This window comes from Homo sapiens, chromosome 3, assembly GCF_000001405.40.
Source record: "Homo sapiens chromosome 3, GRCh38.p14 Primary Assembly".
Classification (NCBI taxonomy): Eukaryota; Metazoa; Chordata; class Mammalia; order Primates; family Hominidae; genus Homo; species Homo sapiens.
Window position 1 is genome coordinate 14,379,379 of NC_000003.12, and position 24,703 is coordinate 14,404,081.

General features: G+C 52.6%; 1 protein-coding gene, 1 long non-coding RNA gene and 1 pseudogene across 6 annotated transcripts in view, besides 7 other annotated features; 2 read left to right on the forward strand and 1 right to left on the reverse strand.

Moving 5' to 3' along the window:
• Nucleotides 3,576–4,101: an enhancer, noted in NCBI's record as "H3K27ac-H3K4me1 hESC enhancer chr3:14424454-14424979 (GRCh37/hg19 assembly coordinates)". NCBI's record gives its function as "activates a minimal SCP1, AML or CMV promoter by ChIP-STARR-seq in naive H9 embryonic stem cells {active_cell/tissue: H9 hESC(naive)}" and the evidence as "EXISTENCE:reporter gene assay evidence [ECO:0000049][PMID:30033119]".
• On the reverse strand, nucleotides 10,364–23,029 carry LOC105376959 (uncharacterized). 2 transcript variants are annotated; one of them, XR_007095825.1, is made up of 8 exons: nucleotides 21,283–23,029; nucleotides 19,766–19,859; nucleotides 18,951–19,131; nucleotides 17,531–17,675; nucleotides 16,867–17,002; nucleotides 14,011–14,143; nucleotides 11,737–11,884; nucleotides 10,364–11,012 (listed from the first exon to the last, which is right to left on the reverse strand). It is a non-coding gene; the product is annotated as an uncharacterized LOC105376959 (long non-coding RNA). The 2 variants fall into 2 exon arrangements; XR_007095824.1 differs by lacking the exons at nucleotides 17,531–17,675; nucleotides 18,951–19,131; nucleotides 19,766–19,859; nucleotides 21,283–23,029 and having other exon boundaries at nucleotides 11,737–11,845; nucleotides 16,867–17,380.
• Nucleotides 14,933–15,672: an enhancer, noted in NCBI's record as "H3K27ac hESC enhancer chr3:14435811-14436550 (GRCh37/hg19 assembly coordinates)". NCBI's record gives its function as "activates a minimal SCP1, AML or CMV promoter by ChIP-STARR-seq in naive H9 embryonic stem cells {active_cell/tissue: H9 hESC(naive)}" and the evidence as "EXISTENCE:reporter gene assay evidence [ECO:0000049][PMID:30033119]".
• RNA5SP124 (RNA, 5S ribosomal pseudogene 124) lies at nucleotides 15,270–15,379 on the forward strand (annotated as a pseudogene).
• Nucleotides 22,652–22,701: an enhancer, noted in NCBI's record as "active region_19505". NCBI's record gives its function as "activates an Ori minimal core promoter by ATAC-STARR-seq in GM12878 lymphoblastoid cells {active_cell/tissue: GM12878}" and the evidence as "EXISTENCE:reporter gene assay evidence [ECO:0000049][PMID:35858748]".
• Nucleotides 22,712–22,881: an enhancer, noted in NCBI's record as "active region_19506". NCBI's record gives its function as "activates an Ori minimal core promoter by ATAC-STARR-seq in GM12878 lymphoblastoid cells {active_cell/tissue: GM12878}" and the evidence as "EXISTENCE:reporter gene assay evidence [ECO:0000049][PMID:35858748]".
• Nucleotides 23,022–23,551: a silencer, noted in NCBI's record as "silent region_14093". NCBI's record gives its function as "represses an Ori minimal core promoter by ATAC-STARR-seq in GM12878 lymphoblastoid cells {active_cell/tissue: GM12878}" and the evidence as "EXISTENCE:reporter gene assay evidence [ECO:0000049][PMID:35858748]".
• SLC6A6 (solute carrier family 6 member 6) overlaps nucleotides 23,198–24,703 on the forward strand; it is an 86,774-nt gene continuing 85,268 nt past the window's right edge. For 3 of the 4 annotated variants that reach the window (NR_103507.3, NM_003043.6, NM_001134368.4), the window contains exon 1: nucleotides 23,228–23,469. Coding sequence is in view for 1 of the 4 variants with exons in the window: in NM_001134367.3 (NP_001127839.2) it covers nucleotides 23,216–23,469 (254 nt within the window). In the remaining 3 variants the exon portion in view is untranslated. Of the gene's footprint in view, nucleotides 23,470–24,703 lie in introns of all 4 variants that reach the window. The other variant, NM_001134367.3, reaches the window with a different exon arrangement.
• Nucleotides 24,202–24,261: an enhancer, noted in NCBI's record as "active region_19507". NCBI's record gives its function as "activates an Ori minimal core promoter by ATAC-STARR-seq in GM12878 lymphoblastoid cells {active_cell/tissue: GM12878}" and the evidence as "EXISTENCE:reporter gene assay evidence [ECO:0000049][PMID:35858748]".
• Nucleotides 24,332–24,411: an enhancer, noted in NCBI's record as "active region_19508". NCBI's record gives its function as "activates an Ori minimal core promoter by ATAC-STARR-seq in GM12878 lymphoblastoid cells {active_cell/tissue: GM12878}" and the evidence as "EXISTENCE:reporter gene assay evidence [ECO:0000049][PMID:35858748]".

The window sequence follows — 24,703 nt, forward strand, 5'->3', positions numbered from 1 at the left end:
CTCAGTGGGAGAATGGGTAAACTGTGCTTCATCTACAGAGTGCCTACGGTTCAGCTCAAAAGGCTGCAGGACACACTCCACAATGTGGAGAAGCGCTCACTTTGTCTGAGCAAAAGAGGCCTTGGACACAGTGTACACACTGCATGTTCCATTTCCATGAAGTTCTAGGACAGCCTAAACCAATCTGTGCTGATAGAAATGAGGATCTGTGGGTGCCTCAGGCGGGGGTAGGGATTGCCTGGCAGGAGCCAGAAGGACCTTCTGGGAGGCTGGAAATGTTCTGTATCTTGATCTGGGTGATTACACATGTACAAATTCCTGAGCTGCACATTTAAGATTTGTTCCCTATATGTCTGGCACATCTCAATATTTTTAAAAAATAATCAAATAAATAAGCTTTTTAAAAAGTCTATGTCAGGGCCAGGTGCAGTGGTTCATTGGAGGCTGAGGCAGAAGGATCGCTTGAGCCCAGATCTTTTTTTTTTTTTTTTTGAGACAGTGGTCTTGCTCTGTTGCCCAGGCTGGAGTGCAATGGCACAGTCTCAGCTCCCTGCCACCCCCACCTCCTGGGCTCGAGTGATCCTCCCACCTCAGCCTCTCAAGTAGCTGAGGCTACAGGCATGCACCATCACGCCCGGCTAAATTTTGTATTTGTTGTAGAGACGTGGTTTCGTCATGTTGCCCAGGCTGGTCTTGAGCTCCTGGACTCAAGTGATCCACCTGTCTCTGCCTCTCACAGTGCTGGGATTACAGGCATGAGCCGCTGCACCTGGCCCACAAACAATTTAAAAACAAAAAATTGGCTGGGCATGGTTGTTCACGCCTGTAATGCCAGCACTTTGCGGGGCCGAGGCGGGTGGATCACCTGAGGTCAGGAGTTTGAGACCAGCCTGGCCAACATGGTGAAACCCCGTCTCTACTAAAAATACAAAAATTAGCCAGGCATGGTGGCAGGCACTGTAATCTTAGCTACTCAGGAGACTGAGACAGGAGAATCGCTTGAACCCCAGAGGTGGAGGTTGCAGTGAGCTGAGATTGTGCCACTGCACTTCATCGTGGGCAGCAGAGTGTGACTCTGTCTCAAAAAAAAAAAAAAATTACCCAAGCATGATGGTGCACACCTGTAGCCCCAGCTTCCTAGGAGGCTAAGGCGGGAGGATGGCTTGAGTCTAGGAGTGTGATGCTGCAGTGAGCTGTGATCGCAGCACTGCACTCCAGCCTGGGTGACAGAGTGAGACCCTATCTCAAAATAAAATAAATCAAATAAAAAGTCAATGTCAAGGATAATGAGTGGGAGACTATCTGAGTTTAAAAGAATTTAAAGTGACATAGCAATCAAGTGCAACATGTAAATTTTCACTAGATCCTAGGAAAGAAATGAAGGGAGGGAATAAGACAGCGAAGAAGGAAGGAAGGAAAGAAGGGAGGGATGGAGGAAGGAAGAGAGAGAGGAGGAAAGGAAGGAAGGGAGGGAGGGAGCAGGGGAGGAAGGAAGGAAGGAAATGAGGGAGGGAGGGAGGGAGGAAGGAAGTCCACCAGCTAACCCAGGTATCTGAAACATTTTGGGATTTGAATATGGGTTGACTATTAGGGAGGTATTTGAATTTGATTTTCTCTGGTAATAATGGTATTTTGCTTAGATGGAGGAACAACCTTGCCTTTAAAAGACACATGAACAATATGTAGAAGTAGGAGGCACGAAGTTTGCAAGTTACCTTCCAATGGCTAGGCAAAAAAAGGGCAATGCACCAAAATATGAACAGTGGTGGAACCTAGGTTGGGTATATATGAGTGCTTATTCTATAGTCTTTAAATTTTTCTATATTTTAGGACATTTTTATTAAAAAGGGTTGAGGGTACAATGAATAAAATTTAAGGTCCTGGCTATGGCCTGTGAGGCTATGTCATCCAGCCCCTGCCTCCTCTGATCTCAGCCCCTTCAATCTCTCCCTCGTTCTCCCTGCCCCCAAAACCTCCCTACACACACACAGGCACACATGCACACACAGGCACACACATATACACACAGTCACGCATGCAGGCACGCACGCACATAACTTTCTCACTGGTCAACCCTGGAGCTGGGAGAAGTGGGGAAATGGATGCTCCCCCTGCACAAAGAGGAATCCCTCTTTTCTCCAGATGGGAAATCTTTCCCAAAAGGCCCCACGCAGACTTTCTCTTATGTCTCATTGGCCAGAACCTAGTCCCATGCCCACCACAGGCCTGTTGTTGGCCACAGAGAATGGGATGGCTGGTACTGCTGAACCAATACAGATAGGTCCCCTGTGGTGGTGCCTATTACCCCTCCCCCTAAATAAGAGTTCTCTTGGCCAAGAGGAAAGGGGGCGGCCACTGGAAGACAAGGCCAGGGGTGGACATAGTGCATTTCTGAAACTTGGAGATGGTGAGGCTCTTTTGCATCTGGGCCTTCCAGCAGGTGTGGGGAACAGCTGGTGGCCTCAAACCCTATTCTCCAGATGGGGCAATAGAAAATCAGAGTGGTGGAATGACTTCCCACTCCTGGCTGGTCCAAGCCTCAAATCTCTGTAAGTGGAAAGTCTGCGAGGGCAGGATGGGCAGAACCTGGTGTGTGAGAGGTTCCGCTGGGCGGGGAGATACAGCAAGGCTTCACGGAGAGGGGTAGTGCTCGGTGCTTGGAGCGTGGAGCGGATTTCAGTGGAGGTGGAGAAAGTGTCAGGTGGGGCACAGAGGGAGCAAGGACAAGGAGGGCAGAGCACCAGGCACATGTGGGCAAGAAGAAGGAGGAGGAGAGCTGGAAAGGAGGGTGGGGCCAGATCTGAAGGCCACCGGAGTGCTGGAGTACTGTTCTCTGTTTCACAGGCAAAGAGGAGCTGCTGAAGATTATAGGGATAAGGGCAGAAGCATCTTAGAGAAGCTGAGAGTACCAGAGGAGTGAGATGGAGACCAGGAGACCAGGAGACCATGGAGGAGGCTGGTGCAGGGCTGTGGACACAGAGGGGAGACTCAGAGACAGCTCTGGAGGCTGAGGCTTGTGGGGCCATTTCTTTTGGGAGAAAGCCACCCAGGAAGGAAGTCCCTTCTGTCCCTGGCAACCCACATCAGCACTTCATAGCACAGATGGAAAGTTCTGCCTACCCTAAATCAAACGTGCAATATCTCAGTCTCAGATTCCCACGCCACTGGGCCAACATCCACTGAATGCAGTAAATGGGTGAAAGCCAAATCGTGGAAAGGTTAACAGCGTGGTCCTGGTGGACTTGGGAGCCAGAACACCCCTGCTGCACCCCACCAGCTCTGTCCTGATGAGCTTTGTCCTCTGCCCCTGGAGCCCATTCCCTGTCTGTGCAACTGGGACCTTAGCAGTCACAGTGACAGTGTCCACATATGCTGGGCCCTGGCCGGGCACGAGGTCTGCTCCAGGCTCTTTCCCCACACTGATCCAGGTGGACCATGGGAGGTCCACATGGCCCCGTGGCAGGGGGCGTGGAGACCACATTTTACGGAGGGAGGGTAGAGCCTGCACTTATGGAGCTGTCCGGAGGGTGACACGCATCAACACACGGCAAGCACAGCTTCAGTGTGAACTTTGCCCTGGAGAGGGGATGCAGAAAGTCCCCACAGAGCCTGAAGAAACAGCCATGGAGATCTTCAGGAAAGACCCTGGGAGGTAGAGAGGAGGTGAGGGAAGACGGACCGGGGAGGTTGGGAGACAGTCCTGTGAGCTGCCAGCATGAGGCGGAGGTTGCGCAGGGGGCCTGTGGGAACAGCACTGCAGAAAGAGGGAACAGCCTTCTCCCTGGCTCCAAGCTCTGGGGTGGCAATATCAGCGCTACTGCTATGCCTGGAAAGGACCACGCTGATGAACCCCTCCTCCCCTCCCCTCCACTCACCTGTGTGTGGTCTTGGGCAAGGCCCCCATGCCCACGAAGCTGTAGCTTTCCTGACAGAGGGGTCAGCCTGGCCCAGCTCTGAAGTCAGCTCCACCCCTGACCCAAGGCAATGACTGAGTTGAACAGGATCACAGTGCCTCTAACTCTCCCGGGCCATGGCTGGCATCTTCCATGGCACATTCTATGCTCACACACAGGTGCTTTTCCCACAAGATTCCAGGGAGCCACTGGGAGGCTGGCTGGTGCCCGCTCAAAGCATCAAGCTGTTCCTAGCCCCTAGCCCCGGGCCTGAGAGCCCACCCCTCAGCCTTTGCAGTGATCGTGCCCAAAAGGGCTGGAGGAAGGGGAGAGCCCTAAGGAACAGGTGCTGAGCCCTGTGAGTTGGGGTCCTGGCCAGGATGTCATTTCACAGAGAAGGCCCAAGCACCCAGGACATGGCCTAGTGGGACTCCCAGGAGCCACACTCTCATGACCATTCCCTTCCTGCCCCCTTGCTAGAAATGACCACAGCAGGGAGCCCTGGCCCAGCTGTGGCCCTGAGCCTGGAACACAGGACAGGCCAGTTTTGCTGGCAGGGAGGTAGGACCCAAGTCAGGGCTAGGGTCTTGGGCGCCTATTAGGACAGTCTCCAAAGGTGGCAGGGGCCTGGGGGAGAGACTGAGTTGGGACTGACCACCTGGTGCCTTGAAGCCCTAAGAAGGAACAGGAAGCGGCCAGGCGTGGTGACTCATGCCTATAATCCCAGCATTGTGGGAGGCTGAGGCGGGAGGATCACCTGAGGTCAGGAGTTCGAGACCAGCCTAGCCAACATGATGAAACCTTGGTTCTATTAAAAATACAAAATAATTAGCTGGGTGTGGTGATGCATGCCTCTAATCCCAGCTACTCGGGAGGCTGAGGCAGGAGAATCTCTTGAACCCAGGAGGCAGAGGTTGCAGTGAGCCAAGATCGTGCCACTACACTCCAGCCTGGGTGACAGAGCCAGACTCCATCTCAAAAAAAGAGAAGCAGGAAAGCACCAAGAGATGGGAGGCCCCTAGACAACTCGAGAAGGTAGGGCTCAACCCTTTGTTGCACAAGGCTGTGAGCTCCTGATCCTTGGCGCTGTCTGCACAGACAGGCACCAACTCTGTGCCTCCTCTGGAGTCAGGCAGCCAGGATTCCAGTCCTGCCTCTGACCCACTCCCAGGTAGATTATTTCCTTGTTGGCAAAGTGGGGCTAATAATAGCACTAGTCTCATTAGGCTATTGTGAGGATTAAACGAATTGATGGCCAACAAAGACAACATTGCTGCTGCCATTACCCCCATCCTCTCCTTCCTCCTGCCTCCCCCCACCCCCCACCATGTAAGCCTTTCTCCACTTCCTTTTTCTTTCTAAAAAGAAACATAAAACTAGGCATCCACCTGGTCAGACATGGTTTTTGTTTATTTGTTTGTTTTGAGATGGAGTCTTGCTCTGTCGCACAGGCTGGAGTGCAGTGGTGCGATCTCGGCTCACTGCAACCTCTGCCTCTCAGGTTCAAGCAATTCTCCTGCCTCAGCCTCCTGAGTAGCTGAGATTACAGGTGCCTGCCAACACACCCGGCTAATTTTTGTATTTTGGTAGAGACGGGGTTTCACTACCTTGGTCAGGCTGGTCTTGAACTCCTGACCTCGTGATCCACCTGCCTAGGCCTTCCAAAGCGCTGAGATTACAGGGCGTGAGCCACCACACCCGCCCAGACATGCTTTATAAAAATAAAAAAAGGTGAAGCGCAGAGCTCCCTGGAGGCTTTGCCGGCCAAGGGGAGCCGCTCACACCCACAGCATTGTCCCTTTGTGGGATCTCACCGCTCCTCCTTACCAAAGAGCCTAAAGTGCTGGGCACTGTCCCAGCTCCACGATCTAGGTGAGGACGCAGAGGCCCATGCGGTGAGGTCGTTTGCCCAAGATCACACAGCTCAGACATGCCAGTGGGGCTGCCCTACTCTCTGTGCTGGGGTCCCTTGGTGGGGTCCCCAGTGAGACTTCACTCATCATCTGTCATTTATTCATTCCTCCTTCATCTTTGTGTTTCCTGATGGACCTCACATCTCTTAGAGAAATGCGCAGACTGTCCCATTTACTTCTGCCACCCCCAGTCCCTAGCACAGAAGGCAATCCTGGACGGAAGCTGAAGAAACACATACATAAGACAGTGTTTGAAAACATAATATGCATGTGCTTCAGCCCTTCACGTGTGCATGTGGCTTCCTCCTTGAGCCACTTCCAGCACCTCCACTCCATGGAATCCCATCTCGCTAGGGCCAGGGAGGGCTGATCTCCAGGTAGGCACATCCACATCACCTGTTAATCCTCTTGCACTGAACCTTCCTTCGACTCTGTTCACCTCCCTCCCTCCTGATTCCCACGCTCTTCTTTTGGCTTCCATGACACTCCGTCTTCTGGTTTCCTTCAGCCTCCTGCCATTCCTCTTCAGGCTTTTTTATGAGCTCCTCTTCTGAGACTGACTCCTTTGAAGTTGGAATTCTTGTCTCTCTTAATGAATGCTTTTCCTGGGTGTTCTTGTGAGTTCCCCATGGTCTAACACCCTGGTCAAGGAAGGCTTTCCTGAGGGACATCTAACCCCAAAGCACCAACAGGAGCCTCTCCCTTAACCAAGGCAAGGAGAAGGGAACCAGTCCCGGGTGAAATGTAATAGTAGTAAAAATCACCATGAGGAGAGGCTTCCTTCCTTTTCTTTGGGTCGATAACAAGTATTTTGACACAGAAGCAGGAGAATATCAGCATTTATTGGGCATCCTTTGTGCCGGGCACTGTCCAAAGTGTCATCTTATTTACTCCTCACCAGCCTAGAGAGGATTGGAGTGGAAGGTGTTTGTTAGCTTAATCTGTGTAACAAGCTATCCAGAAAGTAAGGGGTTTCAACAATAAAGATCTATTTGGCTGTCAGTTCTGCAGGTTGGCCGTCTGGGCTTGGCTCAGTTGGGTGGGTCTGCTGCTGGCCTGGAGGGGCTCCTTATGAGCAGGTAGTCAGCGGGTGGGCCTCCCCCCACATGGCCTCTGGTCCCCATGGCAAGGGAAATACAAAAATTAGCCGGGTGTGTTGGCAGGCGCCTGTAATCTCAGCTACTCTTGGTGTCAAGAGCAGAAGCTGAGAGGCCTCTAGGCACCCATGTTCCCACCACATTCTCTTACCCCAAGCAAGACACAGGGTCAGCCCAGATGCATCCTGCCTCTTGACGGGGAGGGCTGTCAAGTATTATGGCCACTTCCCAATCTGCCACGTGGTCACCCAGCTAGTAGGAACAAAACGGCCAGGTGGATTCCCAGTCCAGCACCCGCTCCACAGACCCAGACTGAGGTACCTTTGTTCGGCTCCTTTCTACGGGTAGAGCTCAGGCCTTTGAGACTGGAGAGACAGGCCTCACCAGGAGGGCTGCTCCAAGGGTCCCAGGCAGGCCGGTGACAAGCAGGGGCTTGACTGAAGAGGAGGATTAAGGGCACTAAATCTGTCCCTCGGGCTTGAAGGATGGCCAAGGCACAGGGCACCTGGCCAAATGCAGGTCTCCGAGGAAAGGGGACAAGTGCGCCAGCTTTGCCACCCTGGCCCAAGGGAACTCTGGGCCCCCAGCACACACCAGACACCCTGCTGGGTCCCAGGAGCCGATGGTAAGCCATGCAGACCTGGTCTTCACCCCAACTAGCAGCACACACAGATGCCACAGGCACCATCCCTCAAATGATGTTTCCACTTAAGGACCAAGGCTGTGAAATGAAGGGGCTTTGGGGCCTGCCTGGGTGGAACTCCATCCTTCCTACTTTCTAGCTGTCAGACCTTGGGCCAGTTACTTCTCTCTCTGAGCTCTGATTTCCTCCTTATGAAATGTGTTTGGAAATTATGCCTTCTTCCCAGGTAATGAGGATTTGAGAAGACAGCGCGTAAAGTACTTCTCTCCAGCCCAGCACATGGACACAGTCTAGAAAGTCAGCCATCATCAACTATAGCCCAGAGTCCACAGTTCCCTTTCCAAGTTCCTGAGTCCAAATGTGCCTGGCTATCAGAAGGACAACTCGGAGCATGTTCCATAAGTGTTACACGTCACCCCAGTGGGGTGTGGAGTCGCTTCCCATAATCAATCACATTGATATTTCTACAGCAAAATCTATGACTATTCACAGTAGGTGGGCTGGACATGATAGCTCAAGCCTGTAATTCCAACCCTTTGGGAGGCCAAGGCAGGAGGATCACTTGAGTGATCAAGGAGTTCAAAACCAGCCAGGGCAACATAGCGAGAGCCCCATCTCTAAAAAATAAAGAAGAAGAAAGAAAGAAAGAAAAGAAAAAGAACCACAGTATATGAGCTAAATTGTTTCTAAATAGTTTCACAAAATTTCAAGTTTTGCCACCAAATTTGGGTTTTTGTTTTGTTTTGTTTTTCAAAACTTTTTGAATATGGAAATTGTGGATAGAGGGTTCTTTGGATCATTATAATTTTTTTTTTTTTTTGAGATGGAATCTCACTCTGTCGCCCAGGGTGGAATGCAATGGTGTGATCTCAGCTCACTGCAACCTCCACCTCCTGAGTTCAAGCAATTCTTGTGCCTCAGCCTCCCAAGTAGCTGGGATTACAGGTGCCCGCCACTACGCCCGGCTAATTTTTGTATTTTTAGTAGAGACAGGGTTTCACCATGTTAGTCAGGCTGGTCTCAAACTCCTGACCTCAGGTGATCCGCCCACCTTGGCCTCTCAAAGAGCTGGGATTACAGGCATGAGCCACTGCACTTGGCCTGGATCATTATAATTCTTAGTGACTCTCAACCTTGGCTGTGTATGAGAGTGAGCTGGGGAGTTTCTTAAAGGCAGACTCTTGGACCTCACACCACACCACATGAATCCATCTCAGGGGGTGAGACATCTCTTTAAGAAGCTCCTAAGATGAGTCTGATGTGGACCCCAGGATGAACCATGGTTCTATAGATTATGAAACAGGAATGCGGTGGGGTCTTGCTCACATAGGGAGTACCAGGGAAGACTTCCCCAAGGACAGGACCAAAGGATGCACAGAAACCTGCCAAGTGAAGGGTGTCAGAATGTTCCCAGCAGAAGGAACAGTGTGAGCAAGCTCCCTGTGGTCAGAAGGGAGGCAGCTGCGAGTCAGAGGAACTGAAAGGTCCCCAGAGTGGTGGAAGCCTGGGAGCAAAAGGCGACACTGCCCAAGCTGAGTTCTCCTGCTTCCTCTGCAGCTGAGACGGGGACCGTTCCTGAGGGGGAAATCTGTGTAAACAGGCAAATAGACACTTTCTTCCCAGAGAAAATTAAGCAGCAGCCCTGGTCCTTTCTTCCTAGCCAGAGCAGGAGGGTACATTAAAATCAGAATGTGTGGGGCTGGGAGGAGACACAGATCCTCTAACCTAATTTTTTTTTTTTTTTTTCAAGACAGAGTCTTGCTCTGTCACCCAGGCTGGAGTGGAGTGGCTAGATCTTGGCTCACTGCAACCTCTACCTCCCGGGTTCAAGTGTTTCTCGTGCCTCAGCTTCCTGAGTAGCTGGGACCACAGGCACACACCACTTCACCCGGCTAAGTTTTATATTTTTAGTGGAGATGGTGTTTCACCATGTTTGCCAAGCTGGTCTCGAACTCCTGACCTCAGGTGATCCACCTGCCTCGGCCTCCCAAAGTGCTGGGATTACAGGCGTGAGCCACCACGCCTGGCCTAACCTGATGATTTTAAAGTGCTTTTATCTTTAAAATTATTTGGGTGCCTTTTAGTCAAACAATTTTGCCACTGCCCCTATAGTGGTTGGAGCAAAGTGGAGGTGATGTTGGGTGTCTGGAGATCTGGATCTCCCCAGATCTCCTAGGGACTCTATGGAACCCAGTTTGAAAATCCTAGGGAACCATGACTCAGGGAGAGACGTTGGGATTGTCCAAGTCGCCCCCAGCCACCCTGCACAGGGCCGGAGTCCCTCTCCCAAGAGATTGGCCTGAGCAGCTCTCCCCAGACTTTTAGCTGTCAGGTCTTCCTGCATAAATTTTCCTTTTGCTGCAACCCATCTGTTATGGGTCACGTTGTGTTTCCTCCAAAAGAGATGTTGAAGTCCTAACTCCTGCTACCTGTGAATGTGACCTTATTTGGAGATAGTGTCCTTGCAGATGTAATCAAGTTAAGATGACGTCATTAGGGTGGGTCCTAATGCAATAGACTAGAGTCCTTATAAGAAGAGGAAAATTTGGACACAGGGACACAGAGGAAGATGGCTATGTGATGACAGAGGCCAGGAGTGCAGTGACGCAGCTGCAAGCCAAGGAACGCCAAGAACTGAGAGAGGCCACCAGATGCCAGGAAGAGGCAAAGAAGGATTCCACCAGGAGCCTCAGAGGGAGCCACCACCTTGACTTAGGACTCCAGCCTCTGGATTGTGCGAGAACACATTTCTGTTGTTTTAAGCCACCAGGTTTGTGGCACTTCATCACAGCAGCCCTAGGAAACAAACTCACCTCCTAAATCATTATTCATTTAATTTTTTTTTTCAAACAGACTCACTTCTAAACAACTTGCACACATTTTGCCAAAAAGTAAAGCTTTCATCGCTGCTACAAATGCAAGACCACAATCCTTTCTATAAATAGAAGACGCCTTAAAAATGCACACAATGAAAACCAGCCAACCTTGCTGGCTGCAGGTGCTCGATGGCTCTGATCTGGGGCCGCTTTTGTTCATCAAGGAGATGAGCAAGTGACCAAGGGGGTGAAGATGCTGGAGCACTTCACTGAGGCTTCTTCTTCTTCTTCTTCTTCTCCTTCTCCCGCTCCTTCTCCTTCTCCTTCTTCTTCTTCTTTTTTTTTTTAGACAAGAGTTTCACTCTTTGTTGCCCAGGCTGGAGGGCAGTGGCACGATCTCGGCTCACTGTAACCTCTGCCTCTGGGTTCAAGGGATTCTCCTGTCTCAGCCTCCTGAGTAGCTAGGATTACAAGCACCCACCACCACACCCAGCGAATTTTTGTATTTTTAGTAGAGACGGCATTTCACCATGTTGGCCAGGCTGGTCTTGAACTCCTGACTTTGGGTGATCCACCCCGCTCAGCCTCTCAAAGTTCTGGGGTTACAGGCACAAGCCACTGTGCCTGGCAGCTTCTTCTTGATTGAGCAACTGAATAAATGAGAATTGAAAAGGGAAAATTTATAATAAGGAAGTTATAGTTAACAATCATTTATTGTATATTTCAAAGTAGCTAGAAGAAAAGAATTGAAATGTTCCCAACACAAAGAAAAGAGAATTTTTTTTTTTTTTTTGAGATGTAGTCTTTCTGTGTCACCCAGGCTGGAGTGCAGTGGCACAGTCTCAGCTCACTGCAACCTCCACCTCCAGGATTCAAGCTATTCTCTTGCCTCAGCTTCCGGAGTAGCTGGGACTACAGGCGCACACCACCATGCCCGGCTAATTTTTGTATTTTTAGTAGAGACCGTGTTGGCCAGGCTGGTCTCAAACTCCTGATGTCAAGTGATCTGCCCGCCTCAGCCTCCCAAAGTGCTGGGATTACAGGTGTGAGTCACCATGCCTGGTCAGAAAAGATAAATGTTTGAGGTGATGGAGATCCCAATTACCCTGATCTAATCACAGCACATCATATACAGGTATCACAATATCACATGGACCCCAAAAATATATAAAACTATTACATATCCATTTTTTAAATAACAAAAAAAAAAGAGAAAAACTCCCTTATTACCTGAATACGTCTCATTCTGGGATGCTTCTCATGATTGAGGCTTCAGGGGTGGGTGTCCCATCCCTGCCCACCTTCCCTCTATGTTTGAGGGAATTGATGCCCAGAAAGGTTCAGTCATTTGTCCACAGTCACACAGCAAGTTACCTGCCAAGTCTGGATCTGGGCCAAACTCCTATGTGCTTTCCAGGAAATCGCATGTTAGATATTTCTTGGTCCCATTCAGAAGTCCCAAGTCATGCATGGTGGCTATGAGCTGAGCACATGGACACAGCAGGGCATTAAACCCTGAAGGCTGAACAAACAGATTCAGTGTGTGTGTCGTAAGCACGAGCAGTGACAGCCGGTGGACTGCAGAATTATGACTGTGCTCCAAGGCAGCTGGACTTGGGCAAAATTTGGCTCACACAAAAGGTTATTATAACCCAAGTGAAGATTTTTTTTCCTTCTCACTTCCCTAGTCCATCAGTAAGGAAAAGCGGGGTGCCTGCAGGCAGCCGTCCTGCATCTTGTCAGTAAGGTCACACAGTAAATGACAGAGGTCATAGGGCTCATGTCCAAAACCAGACACCCCTTTCACCCTCGTCCTGGCTGTGTGGCGATCTCCTTCCTGCCCTATCTCTGCTGCTCTGTCATCTCCTCTTAGCTTTTGTTGCTCCTCTGGCCCACGGGAAGGAGCAGGGCTCATAGCTTAGGGTCTGATACACTTAGATTCAAATCCCAGCTCATCCACGAAATGGATCCCTCCTCCCAGGCTATTAGGAGAGGTCCATGAGAGAGCATCTGTGAGCACTTGGCTCAGTGCCTGGCACACAGTAGGAGCTCAGTAAATATTCATGCCTTCCCCCTGCCGGATTGTGAGTTCCTGTTTTTCTCTGTCTTATGTAGGGCCAGCCTTGGAGGCTTTCCATGTCACCATCAATAATAATACGAGGCCGGGCGAGGTGGCTCACGCCTGTAATCCCAGCACTTTGGGAGGCTGAGGCGGGTGGATCACTTGAGGTCAGGAGTTCAAAACCAGCCTGATCAACACGGTGAAACCCAGTCTCTACCACAAATACAAAATTAGCCGGGCATGGTGGTGCACACCTGTAACCCCAGCTACTTGGGAGGCTGAGGCAGGAAAATCACTTGAACCTGGGAGGCGGAGGTTGCGGTGAGCCAAGATCGCACCATTGCACTCCAGGCTGGGCAACAAGAGCAAAACTCTGTCTCAAAATAAATAAATAAATAAATAAAATAATAATAATAACACAAATTGTATGTCTTTCCATGACCAGCCCTTTCCTGCATTCGGCTCTGCATTGGTGCTGTGTGGGAGGCACTAGGACTACCCTTAGGCCCCAGACAGAGGAGCCCATGCCTATGGGTTCCCAGAGGGGCCCTCCTGTGGCTGCACACCTTCCCACAAGGTCATATACACATTCCACAGGGTCCAGGGGATGTGACCATCATAAGCCAGCGCCCTCTAGCTTCTAAATTGAACCCTGGGTACCCCAGGCCCCAGAGTCCCTGCCCGTGGGCCTCTCCCCCATTCATTCAGCTGAGGGCGGAGAGGCACACTGGTGTGTACCCAGGCTTAGGGGGGAAAGGTGGGCTGTGCTTGGGGGCTGAGCTTGAATGGAAGGTGGGTTGTCCCTCTGCATGGACCAGAGCTGCTCAAGGGGTAGGACGGAGCTTGGAATGGCAGGAGAGGAGGGGTGAGGGGCAGGCCACAGGCCAGGGCCTCAGATGGGGGCTGGCACTCCCCAGCCACCGCTTGCAGGATCCAGCTCCAAGGAGCCTGGGAATTTACATTCTAAGCTGGCCTCCAGCTCACCATGAAAATAAGCACACCAAGGCGGGAGGGCAGGGTGGTTTGTACCTAACAGCGTATTAGCCTGACATATAACTTTTCAATACTGAGACAGTATTTGCAGCATTTGTTGTCTCGGGGTAGAACTCTGCCAGTGTCAGGGGTGTCCTGGTGTCATCCCAGTGGTTTTCTCGACCACTGACCCACAGGGGACAACACATTTATCAAATAAGGAAAGTGCTGGGCCCGAGCCTTTCAATACACAAGTGTAGAATAACAGGCTTAAAGGCTACAAATAGCATCAAAGCACGAGGGATGATAATGCCTCTAGAGACCAGGTTCAAGTTCCCATGTGGCAAATGTCACCTCCACCCGAGGTGCCACTTGCACAACAAGGGTATTAACTTCTCTCCTTCCCCAGGGCCTGTCTAGGATCCCCTTTGGTAACCTGGACCTGTCTCTTCCCTTCCCATACTCCAGAATGAGCCCCTGGGCCCAGGTCAAGCACCTGAGACTCAGATGGACAACCTCCTGTGCCCCCTGCCCCTCTCTTCTTGCTCATTCTTGCTGGTTTTGTCATCCTGGCAGAAATCATCAGAATGACAGTGATAATTATGAACACTCACCTTGTGCAGGCTCTGACCTTCACATTCACCCTAGACGGGGCTCTAGTGCCATCCTCATTTTACAGATGGACAAAATGAGGCTCAATTTGGGGCTGATCCTGTGCCTAAGGTCACAGTTGGTAAGAGGCAGATCCTGGAATTGAACACACATCTCTCTGAATCCCAGATCCCACACATCTGCCCCCAAGGCTAGAAACCACAGATCAGAGGGACCTTCTGGGCATTGCGCTGTGTCATGGGACAAGTCACTTGCTGACCTCTGTTTCCCTGGGGAAGTGGCTTTGGGGAATACCTGGGGTCATCTAGAGCTGAGGGATCCTGGGAATCCAGGAGTGGAGCTGGGGCAGCCTGAGAACGGGGCCCACCCCACCCCGGCTCAGATGACCAGTCCCGAGGGCCCAATCAGGTCAGCCTTGGATCAGGCCATAAGTGGGAACAAAATAGTCAGGGAACTCTCCTCTCCCGCTTTGTTTATGGTCTGGGAGCTGAGAATATTTTGAATTGTTGTGTTTGGGGAGGGAGGGAGAAATAACCAAATATAAGAAGGCAGTCACTGGGAGGCCTGGGCAAGAATGCAGAGGAATCAGGCCTGCCTGGGGATGTCTGGGCCACCGGAATGCTTGGAGGCCCAGCACCCTCTAGCTCAAGGATCCGGCACTGATGAGACATTCACGTTGCCTGGAGAGCTTTATTTTAAACAACGAAGGAGAAAGAAGAAAAGAAGAAGAAGGAGAAGGAGAAGAAAAAGAAGCAGCAGCCGCCACCACCATCTCATGCCCATTTAAATGAGAATTTCTGAGCGTGGGACCCCAGGCATCAGATTTTTTTCAGTTTCTCCTTGGGCCACCAAGGTTGAGAACTGGTACCTCCTGTAGCAGTGGTTCTGAAACGCCAGCTGCCTCGGAAGCTCCTGGAGGGCTTGTTAGATAGGACTGTGTCCCACCACAGAGTTTCTGATTCAGGAGGTCTGGGTTGGGCTGGTGCTTTGCTTTTCTAACAAGTTCCCAGGTGAAGCTGCTAGTCTGGGGGCCAGACTTTGAGAGCCTCTCGCCTGCATTCTCAGGACTCCTTTTGTGGCTTGTGGACCCACAGCCTGGGGTGTCTCCCAGAAGCTTGTTAGAAATTCAGAATCTTGGCGCAGTAGCTCACACCTGTAATACCAGCATTTGAGGAGGCTAAGGCTGGAGGATTGCTTGAGCCCAGAAGTTTGAGATCAACCTGGGCAACATAGAGACACCTAGTCTCTAGTTAAAAAAGCAGTCTATGGCCATACTACCAGGAACGTGCCTGATCTCGTGAAGCTAAGCAGGTTTGGGCCTGGTTAGTACTTAGATGGGAGACCACCTGGGAATAACGGGTGCTGTAGGCTTTTGGCTTGGCTGGGCGCAGTGGCTCACACCTATAATCCCAGCACTTTGGGAGGCGAGGGGGGTGGATCACAAGGTCAGGAGTTCGAGACCAGCCTGGCCAACATGGTGAAACCCCATCTCTACTAAACATACAAACATTAGCTAGGTGTAGTGGCAGGCGCCTGTAATCCCAGCCACCCAGGAGGCTGAGGCAGGAGAATCATTTGAACCTGGGAGGCGGAGGTTGCAGTGAGCCGAGATCACACCATTGTACTCCAACCTGAGCGACAAGGCGAGACTGTCTCAAAAAATAAAAATAAAAAAATAAACAAAATAAAAATGTGGGATGTGATGGCTCACACCTGTAATCCCAGCACTTTGGGAGGCCAAGGCAGGTGGACTGCTTGAGCTCAGGAGTTTGAAACCAGCTTTGGCAACATGGTGAAACCCTCGTCTCTACAAAAAATACAAAAATTAGCTGGGCATGGTGGCTTATGGCTATAGTCCCAGCTACTTGGGAGGCTGAGGTGAGAGAATGGCTTGAGCCTAGAAGGTCGAGGCTGCAGTGAGCTGTGATTGTGCCACTTCACTCCAGCTTGGGTGACAGAGCAAGACCCTGTCTCAAAAATAAATAAATAAATAAATATAAATATAAATAATAAATAGAAGGCCGGGCGCAGTGGCTCGCCCCTGTAATCCCAGCACTTTGGGAGGCTGAGGTGGCCAGATCACCTGAGGTCGCAAGTTTGAGAGCAGCCTGACCAACATGGAGAAACCCCATCTCTACTAAAAACACAAAATTAGCCGGGCATGGTGGCGCATGCCTGTAATCCCAGCTACTCGGGAGGCTGAGGCGGGAGAATCACTTGAACCCAGGAGGCGGAGGTTGCAGTGAGCCGAGATCGCACCACTGCACTCCAGCCTGGGCAACAAGAGCAAAACTCCATCTCAATAATAATAATGATAATCAATAAAAATAATAAATAAATAAGAAATTCAGAATCTCCAACCCCACCCCAGACCTGCTGAGTCAAATTCGTATGTTAACAACATCCTGTCGTGAGTATATGCACTTTTCAGTTGAAGCAGGGCTGGAAGGTCACCTTGGCTAACCTCATGCCATCCATGGGGAGACTGAGGCAGAGGGAGGTGGAGGTCCCTCTGGGTTACACAGCCACTAAGGATCCACTCAGGGCTTGGAACCAGGTCTCTGCAGGGGAGATGGGGAGGGGAGGGGGCTCTTGTGGGTGGAGCCGAATGCACAGTCTTAAAGACTGGCCCCTTTCTCCATAGCTAAACAAATGGTTAGTTTTGCAGTTTGTGGAATGGGGGTGGGAGCGTGGGGGAAAATTGTAGGCAGCTCCAGCTCCGTTCATTCAGCAGAATTTGTTGGACATCTGCCATGGGGCTGGCCACTGCTGTAGGCCCTGGGGACACATGAAGTGGGCAGTCTAGTGTGAAAACAGACATAAACAGGTCAATATGTAAATGATCAAGGTCCACTCACCCATTATCCAAGTTAGAATGAGAATAAAATGAGGCGATGGCTCAGGGCTGGTGCAGGGCAGGCAGGAGGCAGCCGGGGCTGTCTGAGACATGGTGGTCTGGGAAGGTCTCTGGGGATGAGACACTGGAGCTGAGGCCTAGGGAGAAGGAGCCAGACCTGGGAAGGGCTGAGGGGAAGAGCCTGGGGCAGGGAGCAAGACAGGGGCAAAGGCCCTGAGGCAGAGAGAGGGGAGCCTGGAGTTGGAGGGAAAGCCAGGGGGCCAGAGAGGCTGGGAGTGAGGGAGGCAGAGGAGGAGAGTGGCGGAGGGTCAGGTAGGGGGTATCTCAGAGGCTGCCAGGAGTGTGGCTTAGTGGCAGTGTGGTGGGGGCCATGAGGTGGTTCAAAGCAGGAAGGAAGCCTGAGTGGGTCTGGGGGTTTTCCTTGGGATTTTTACTGAGGTCTACACTTCCTACAGTGAAACGCGACAGCACACACTGGAGTGACCTGCCCCAGGTAAGGATGGAGCCCCTTCCCATCCCGCAGGTTCTCTCATACCCCACCCACCCCACACCACCCCACACCACCTCACCCCATCCCACTTCACCTCTGGAGGCAACCACTGCTCCTATTCCCATGGCCCTCAATTCACTCTGCCTGACTTTGAAGGCCATGTAAAGGGACCCACTGCAGGGCATCTGGTCTGTGGCTCTGGCTTCTCTCACTGGGCTCGGTGTTTTGGAGACAAACTCCGCTGCTCCCTTGGTTTGGAGCCTCTCGTAGCCGGTTCCTTTTCACCTGTGAGTTGCAGTCCTTCCATCTGTTTTTCCATTCTATTGATAGATACAACCAGGGCTGTTTCCGTTTTGGACTGTATGAATACCACTGCCATTCACAAGTCTTTGGGTGAACAAATATTTTCATTTCTTTCTGGCCAATTACCTGAGCGTGCAATTGCTGGCTCATAGTGTTGTGTTTAATCTTACAATAAATTTATAACCTTATCAGAAACTGCCAGAGTAGCTGGGTGTGGTGGTGTGCCTATAGCCCCGGTTACTTAGGAGGCTGAGGTGCGAGGATCACTGGAGCCCAGGAGTTCAAGGCCAGTTTGGGCAACACAGCATTTTTTAGAGACTTTGTCTCAGAAAAAAAAAGAGAAAAAAGAAAGAAAAGAAAAGAAGAGAAACTACCAAATTGTTTGCTGCAATGGCTATATGCCATAGAGAGTCCCAGGAGTGGAGATGGGCTGTCGGGGAGGAGAGGAAGCCAGGGAGGAAAGCATCCCCTGCAGTCACCCAGAAGGGAGAGAACATGGCCTGGCCTGGGGTGTCTGTGAAGCTGGAGAGCATCTGTCTGCAGTGCTAGTGAATGAATAAATGTACTGTGGGTCCCCGGTCCCCTGCAGAGCTGTCTCCAGTACTGACACCTTCCCTGTCTGTCCAGTTCTGGGGCAGTTTTGCTGTGCCCACTGAGGGAGAAGAGGAAGTGAGCCCAGGCACTTGCCACCCACAGACCACATCCTGCAAGGGTTTCCTGGGGTCCACTGTGCTCCAGGCCCCATGCTGGGACTGCTTGGCATCCCCGCTTCCTGCGTGCTCCCTTTCTGGGGCTCCAAGTTTGGCAGAGACCCAGGTTGCAGAAGGGCAATGGGCAAAGTGCTTGGCAGGAGGGAGCAGCAAGGGTGAAGGCCTGGAGGCAAGAAAGCCTGGAGCACACAGGTGGCAGGGGTAGGTGGGGGTCCTGCTTTCCAGAGTGTTAGACTGTGTGCCAGGGACCTGGCTCAACGCTTCACATCAATCATCTCCACTCACTCCACACAACAATCTGCAGGAGAGGGGTTATGATTAATCAGGCTGTACAAATCAAGAAACCAAGGCACAGAGAGGTCACATTATTCACTCTAGGTCACACAGCCCATGAGGGATGGAGCTGAGATTTGCAGGCAGGCAAGAGGAGGGTAGTGGGCAGGAAGCAGATCCCTGAAGGCCCAGATGCTCTGACAAGGCTCTGCAGCCACCTACACACCCAGGGACGTGGACACACTGCAGTGTGCCCAGGAAATGCTGGCCAGGTCAGGGAGGCAGCCACTCAGCAGCCCCGCCACTGACCCTTGGTCTCTTCAGGGCTGCTCCCAGGGATGATGTTCTGAGAGTTGTAAGAGGCCGACCAGACAATCCTCGATCTCCAGCAGGATCCCTGAGCTGGCCAGGTGGCCCAGCGTGGGCTGCACCTCCCACAGGCATTGCAACAACTCTTGTTGGTGGCCTGATAGACGAGACAAACTCTTCCCTAGAAAGGGGCGAGAAGTTTTGTTCAAAGTCCTAGATCAATTTTATTTTACTGTTGAGAGCTGCTAAAGAAAGTAATCATAAAGTAGGCTTTGAAAAATTTCGTTCACTGCCTCTACGTGGACGGCTGTAGACTACAGCCTGAAAATTGGCCCTCCGGGAGCTCTGTCCAGCAATCGATTTTCATTCTTGAAATGAGAAGAATTAGTCCCAGTGGAATTTCAGGCTAGTCTATGGTTCTGAGGGGAACCTCGGCCTGGCTTTCCTTGAAGCTCCCTTCTTGTTGCCAAAGCTTTCCATTTCCCTTGGTACTCACAGTTATCTTTGAGGGGGCAGGGTGCACAAAGTGCATCATGGGTCTCAAATTCAGCTCCCTGCAAGGGCCGGTAGGTGACAGAAAAGAGCAAACTAGCTAGGAGGGAGCTGTGGCACCCTGGGGAGCCCATGTGAGAGGGTGGCTAATGCCCCTCAGCTCCAGGACATTGTAGACAGGGGGTTAATGGGCCTGGGTGGCCCCATTTTGCCATATTTCAAGATAAACCAGGCATTCAGATTTTGTTGTTGTTGTTGTTGTTTGGAGACAGGGTCTTGCTCTCGCACCTAGGCTGGAGTGCAGTGGTGTAGTCATAGCTTACCGCAGCCTTCACCTCCCGGGCTCAAGTGATCCTCCTGCCTCAGCCTCCTGAGTAGCTGGGACCATAGGCATGCACCACCATACCCGGCGAATTTCTAAAAAAAATTTTCATAGAGATGGAATTTTACTTTGTTGCCCAGCCTGGCCAGATTTTTTAAATGTGAAATCTTCCAAGCTTTTATTCATAAAAATTAACTCCAAACACATTAAAGCTCAGTGACAGCCAAAGAAGCACATCTGGGAGCTGGATTCGGTTTAAGGCCTCCAGTTCGAGACTTCTCCTCTCCTCAGAATGGCTCATTGAGGCAGGGTGTATTTTATCTCATATTACAATGAGGAAACTGAGGCTCAGAGAGCAGGCCTGCAGGCCCAAGTCACACAACTGGGAAGCCACAGGGCTGAGGTGGAGCTAGGGTCTGTGGCCTCCCGCACTGAGCTCTCTCCACCCTGTGCATGCCTCTAGCTTTGGCATTGGCTCCTCCTGGCCCCTTCTCCGGTCTGACCATCCCTTTTCCACCTCATCTGCCACCTCTCCCTGGGGCTGAGGTTGGGGCTCTTCTTGCCTCCTTCTCCTCCTTTCTCTCCTTGGGGCTGGGTTTTTTTGTCTGGCAATCGCCCACCCAGAATCCCCTCATTCAAGATTGTAACCTCTGGAGCCAGGTGGCCTAGGTTTGAATTCCAGCTCTACTATCTGCCAGCTGAGTGACCTTGGGGAAGTTACTTAACTTCTCTGTGGCTCGGTTTTACCTTCTATAAAACGGAAGAAATAATTGTACCAATCTCATAGGGGTGTTGTCGGGATGAAAAGGGTTAACTTATTAAAATGCATTTAACTGTGCAGGGTACATAGTTAAGTGCCAAAGAAAAGTAAGTTAAAGCCAGGCACGGTGGCTCACGCCTGTAATCTCAGCACTTTGGGAGGCCGAGGCAGGCAGATCACCTGAGGTTGGGAGTTTGAGACCAGCCTGATCAACATGGAGAAACCCCATCTCTACTAAAAACACAAAATTAGCCAGGCGTGGTGGCGCATGCCTGTAATGCCAGCTACTAGCGGGGCTGAGGCAGGAGAATCACTTGAACCCAGGAAGCGGAGGTTACAGTGAGCTGAGATTGCGCCATTGGACTCCAGCCTGGGCAACAAGAGCGAAACTCCGTTTTAAAAGAAAAAAAAGAAAAGTACGTTAAAATAAATGCAGCAAACACTTATTGAGTACCTACTGTGTGTCAGGCCTATGATAGACTCCAGGAGTTGATGGAGGCAAAAGAACAGATCCCATCCCTCATGGAGCTGGTAACTGGATAGATGGTTCACTCGTGTGTCTTGCGCTGGCACTACCTGCATGAGGCTCCGCTGGCCTACCTGGAGGTCAAAGGATCCCATGGGCCTTTCCAAGTTGCAGCTCTGAACACACAACTCTTCCCTCCTCCCACAGCCACTGCCCTTGCTCACTCTCTCAGACCCTCAAGCTCAGCCCTGCCACCAACAACCTTGCTCTCAGGCCTTCGCACGGCAGGCACCTCTGCTAGAACTTGCTTCCTCTCCTGCCGGCTTCACTGCTCGTGGCTTAGTCAAAGCCTCCTTTTGGTTCAAACTTCAATCCTGGAGTCCCCTCCCCACGCTAGGACCTGCCCCTTTGCTTCAGTCTTTGTGCCCTGTGCGACCACACATGCACAGGGCGTCTGAGGAGTTTTTGCTTGACGTCTATTCCTGCAGTTCATGAGGGAACCTCATAGCTGAAGCAGAGGGATGTGGGAGACCCAGTCACTCCTCTTCCTCAGCTTTCGTTTGCTCACCTATAAAAGGGTACAGTGACCCTGAACTCAAAGGAGAGTGCTCAGGTGGCCAGAAGCAGATGTCACGTGGGCCACTGGGACCCTAGAGGCACTGCTGATCCCCAGGTGCTTCCTGGAGGAAGGGGCCACCCGGGGCCCGCAGAGAAGGGTGGGAAGGGTGACAGGAAGGCAAGGAAGGGCATGTGCCCAGTGGTCCTCGTCTGTCTTGGCTGGAGCCAGTATGAGGAGCACCCACTGGAAGGTCAGGTTGGAGTCCGATGGCAGGGGCCTCCAGGGAGAGCCAGTGTCACTTCGGGATGCTCCTTAGCATCCTGGGGCTGTACAGGGAGAGTGGCTGCAGAGCCCTTCCAGGCAGGGATCCTGGCCTGAGTGGGGGCAGCTCTTGGTCGGACCTGTGTGGTATTTCTTCTTCTTCTTCTTTTTTGTTTTTTTGAGACTCATTCTTGTCACCCAGGCTGGAGTGCAGTGGCGTGATCTCGGCTCACTGCAACCTCCGCCTCCCGGGTTCAAGGGATTCTCCTGCCTCAGCCTCCTGAGTAGCTGGGATTATAGGCACCCGGCACCACGCCAGGCTAATTTTTGTACTTTTAGTAGAGACGGAGTTTCGCCATGTTGGCCAGGCTGGTCTCGAACTCCTGACCTCAGGTGATCTGCCCCCTCGGCCTCCCAAAGTGCTGGGATTACAGGCATGAGCCACCGCGCCTGGCCGGTATTTCTTCTTTCATTCTCCGTGTAAATGGTGGAAGGATCGGCTCTCTCCTCCCCGCCTCCCAGGTGCAGAGAGAGAGAGAGAGAGAGAGGGACAGGAGAAGGCTGGGGTTCGGGGTTCTCACAGCGTTTCCCTCTCATGCTGCCAGGGCGGGGCAGTGGAAAATGGTCCCTGAGGGCCCGTTCATTCAAATAAGGACAAGAATAATGGCACACTCCCCATCTCCATTTAAAAATAGTCACATTAGCTGACACTGGCTTGGCACTTCCTAGATGCCGGGTGCGTTCCGAGTTCTCTACGCTGTTAACCTTGGATCTTCATAACAGCCGGAGGAGACAAGCGCTACTATTTTCCTTTCCATTTTATAGATGAGGACACTGAGGCAGAGAAATTGAGTCACTTGCCCAGGGTCACACAGCCATGGCAAGGCCAGGATTCTGGAGCTCTGTACCTGGCTTCACACCACAAGCTCAGGCCACCCTCCCGGGGCATACCGAGTCTCCCAGAACGTGGACGATCGCCCAGGGCAACGCAGTGGAGTGCGAGCCCGGTCTGGTTTGCACCTGGCTGCTCCAGGAGCCCTGGGCCTCATCCTAGGAGCCTGGCGGAAGAGGCGAGCGGTGGAGTTTGGAGGCTGCTGTGAAGGAAAGGACTAGGCGGGTCGGGTCGGGTCTGTCCTGCTCTTCTTCCGCAGGCAGGAGGCGCCCAGGGCGGGCTGCCGCACCTGGCAACGAACGTTCGCCGCGCGGCATGAGGGTGTGCGCGCGCGCTCGGCGAGCCCGGGTTCTTTGTGTGTCCGAGCCCATGCGCGCGTGCGTGTTTGCGTGTATGTGTGTGCATGTGTATGTGTGCGCGCGTGTGTCCGCACTTGGGGCGGGGCTGGAAGCCCCGGCCCCGCCCCGGCCCCGCCCCCGGCCCGGCCGAGCTGGTATTTTTCCACCCAGCAGGATGGGTGATGCTGAGAGCTGCCTGCTCAGACAACAGACACGCGAGGTCAGGAAGAAGCCGCTTATAAATTACCGCTTCCTTCGCGCCGCCGCCAACGCCGAGCCCCGAGGACCGCAAGCCCAGAGGACAAGCTGCGCCAAGAGGGAGTGCGGAGCGTTCACCCAGCGGGTCAGAGAGCGAGCGGGCAGGCAGCCCCCGGCCGGCGGAACCCGGCACAGCCGAGCAGAGCGCGGGCGGCGCCGCAGCCACCCCAGGTACCGGAGGGACCGGGAGCTGGGCGCGCAGCCGGCGCTGCCCGCCGTCTGCAGCCCCTCCCCATCCCCGCGTCGCCGCAGTCCCGGCCTCCTCCCCTCCGCGTGCGCCCATCCGGCGCCCCTTTCACCACCGCGGAAGGGACCGAGAGTCGCCTGCTCAGTCCCGCTGGCGGGGCTGTTATTGTTTCCCCGGCAAAAGGGCTCCGGCTCTTGGTGCGGGCGGCAGGAGAGTGTGTGTGTGTGTGTGTGTGTGTGTGTGTGTGTGTGTGTGTGTGTGGCATATCTGTGTGCCTGTCTCCGTCAGGATGCCTACATGTGCCTCCGTATCCCTGTGTCTGTGTTTCTGAGGGTGACTGTTTCACCGTGTCCCCAGCAGCGTGCACATGTGTGTTCCGGTGCATGTCTGTTATTCTCTGCGTGCTGGGCTGTGTGTGTGTGCCTCTCTGTGTGTGATACCTGAGTGTGCTGTCTTTGGATGTGTGCTCTTGTGTGTCCCCGTTTGTGTCTGCATGAATCTGTGTGTGGGGGGCTGCGTCTTCCAGGCCCTGGCTAGGTGCACGTGCGTGTCCCTGAGTGTGGTTGTGTCTCCAGGTCCCTGGTTGTGGGCACTCGTGTGTCCTCGGCTGTACCCAAGAGGGTGTCCCTGGTGCCTAGAGGGTCCAATGGCCAGAGCTGGTTCTCCAGGGCCGGCGCTGAGTGGGGAGAGGTGATAGGGCAGCGTGGCTCCATAGGTGCATGCACTCCATAGGTGGTGTGCAGGTGGCAGCGCCAGCGTCCAGCAGTCCTGAGTGGTGGGACCAAGGCCCGGAGGGGCAGCCAAGGGGTAGTGGACAGCCGGCAGGGCCAGCAGGACACTTCCCCCTCCAGACTATTTCTCTTCCTTCTGTGGGTTCCTCTTTTGAGTAGGAGATTCTCGTCCCCCTCCCACTAGGGAAGCCACACAGAGAGAATTCCAGGGACCTCCTCCTACAGCCTCAAAGCTTCAGCCTGGACTTCAGCCTGGACTGGAGAGGAGACCTGTGGGCAGCTCTCCCAGGCAGGGAGGTGTGTGCCGGGTAGGGCCACCGGCCTGGCTATTTTGGTCACTGTTGGGCCTCTGCCAGATCCCGGCATCCCCAGGACCAGCCCCAAAAGCTTGGGAGGCAGCCTGGGCCCCCGTTTCCTGTCTGGGGAAATAAATCAGCTCAGTAATTGCCCAGACACTTGAATGGAGGGTCTTCGGGCTGAGGTTTAC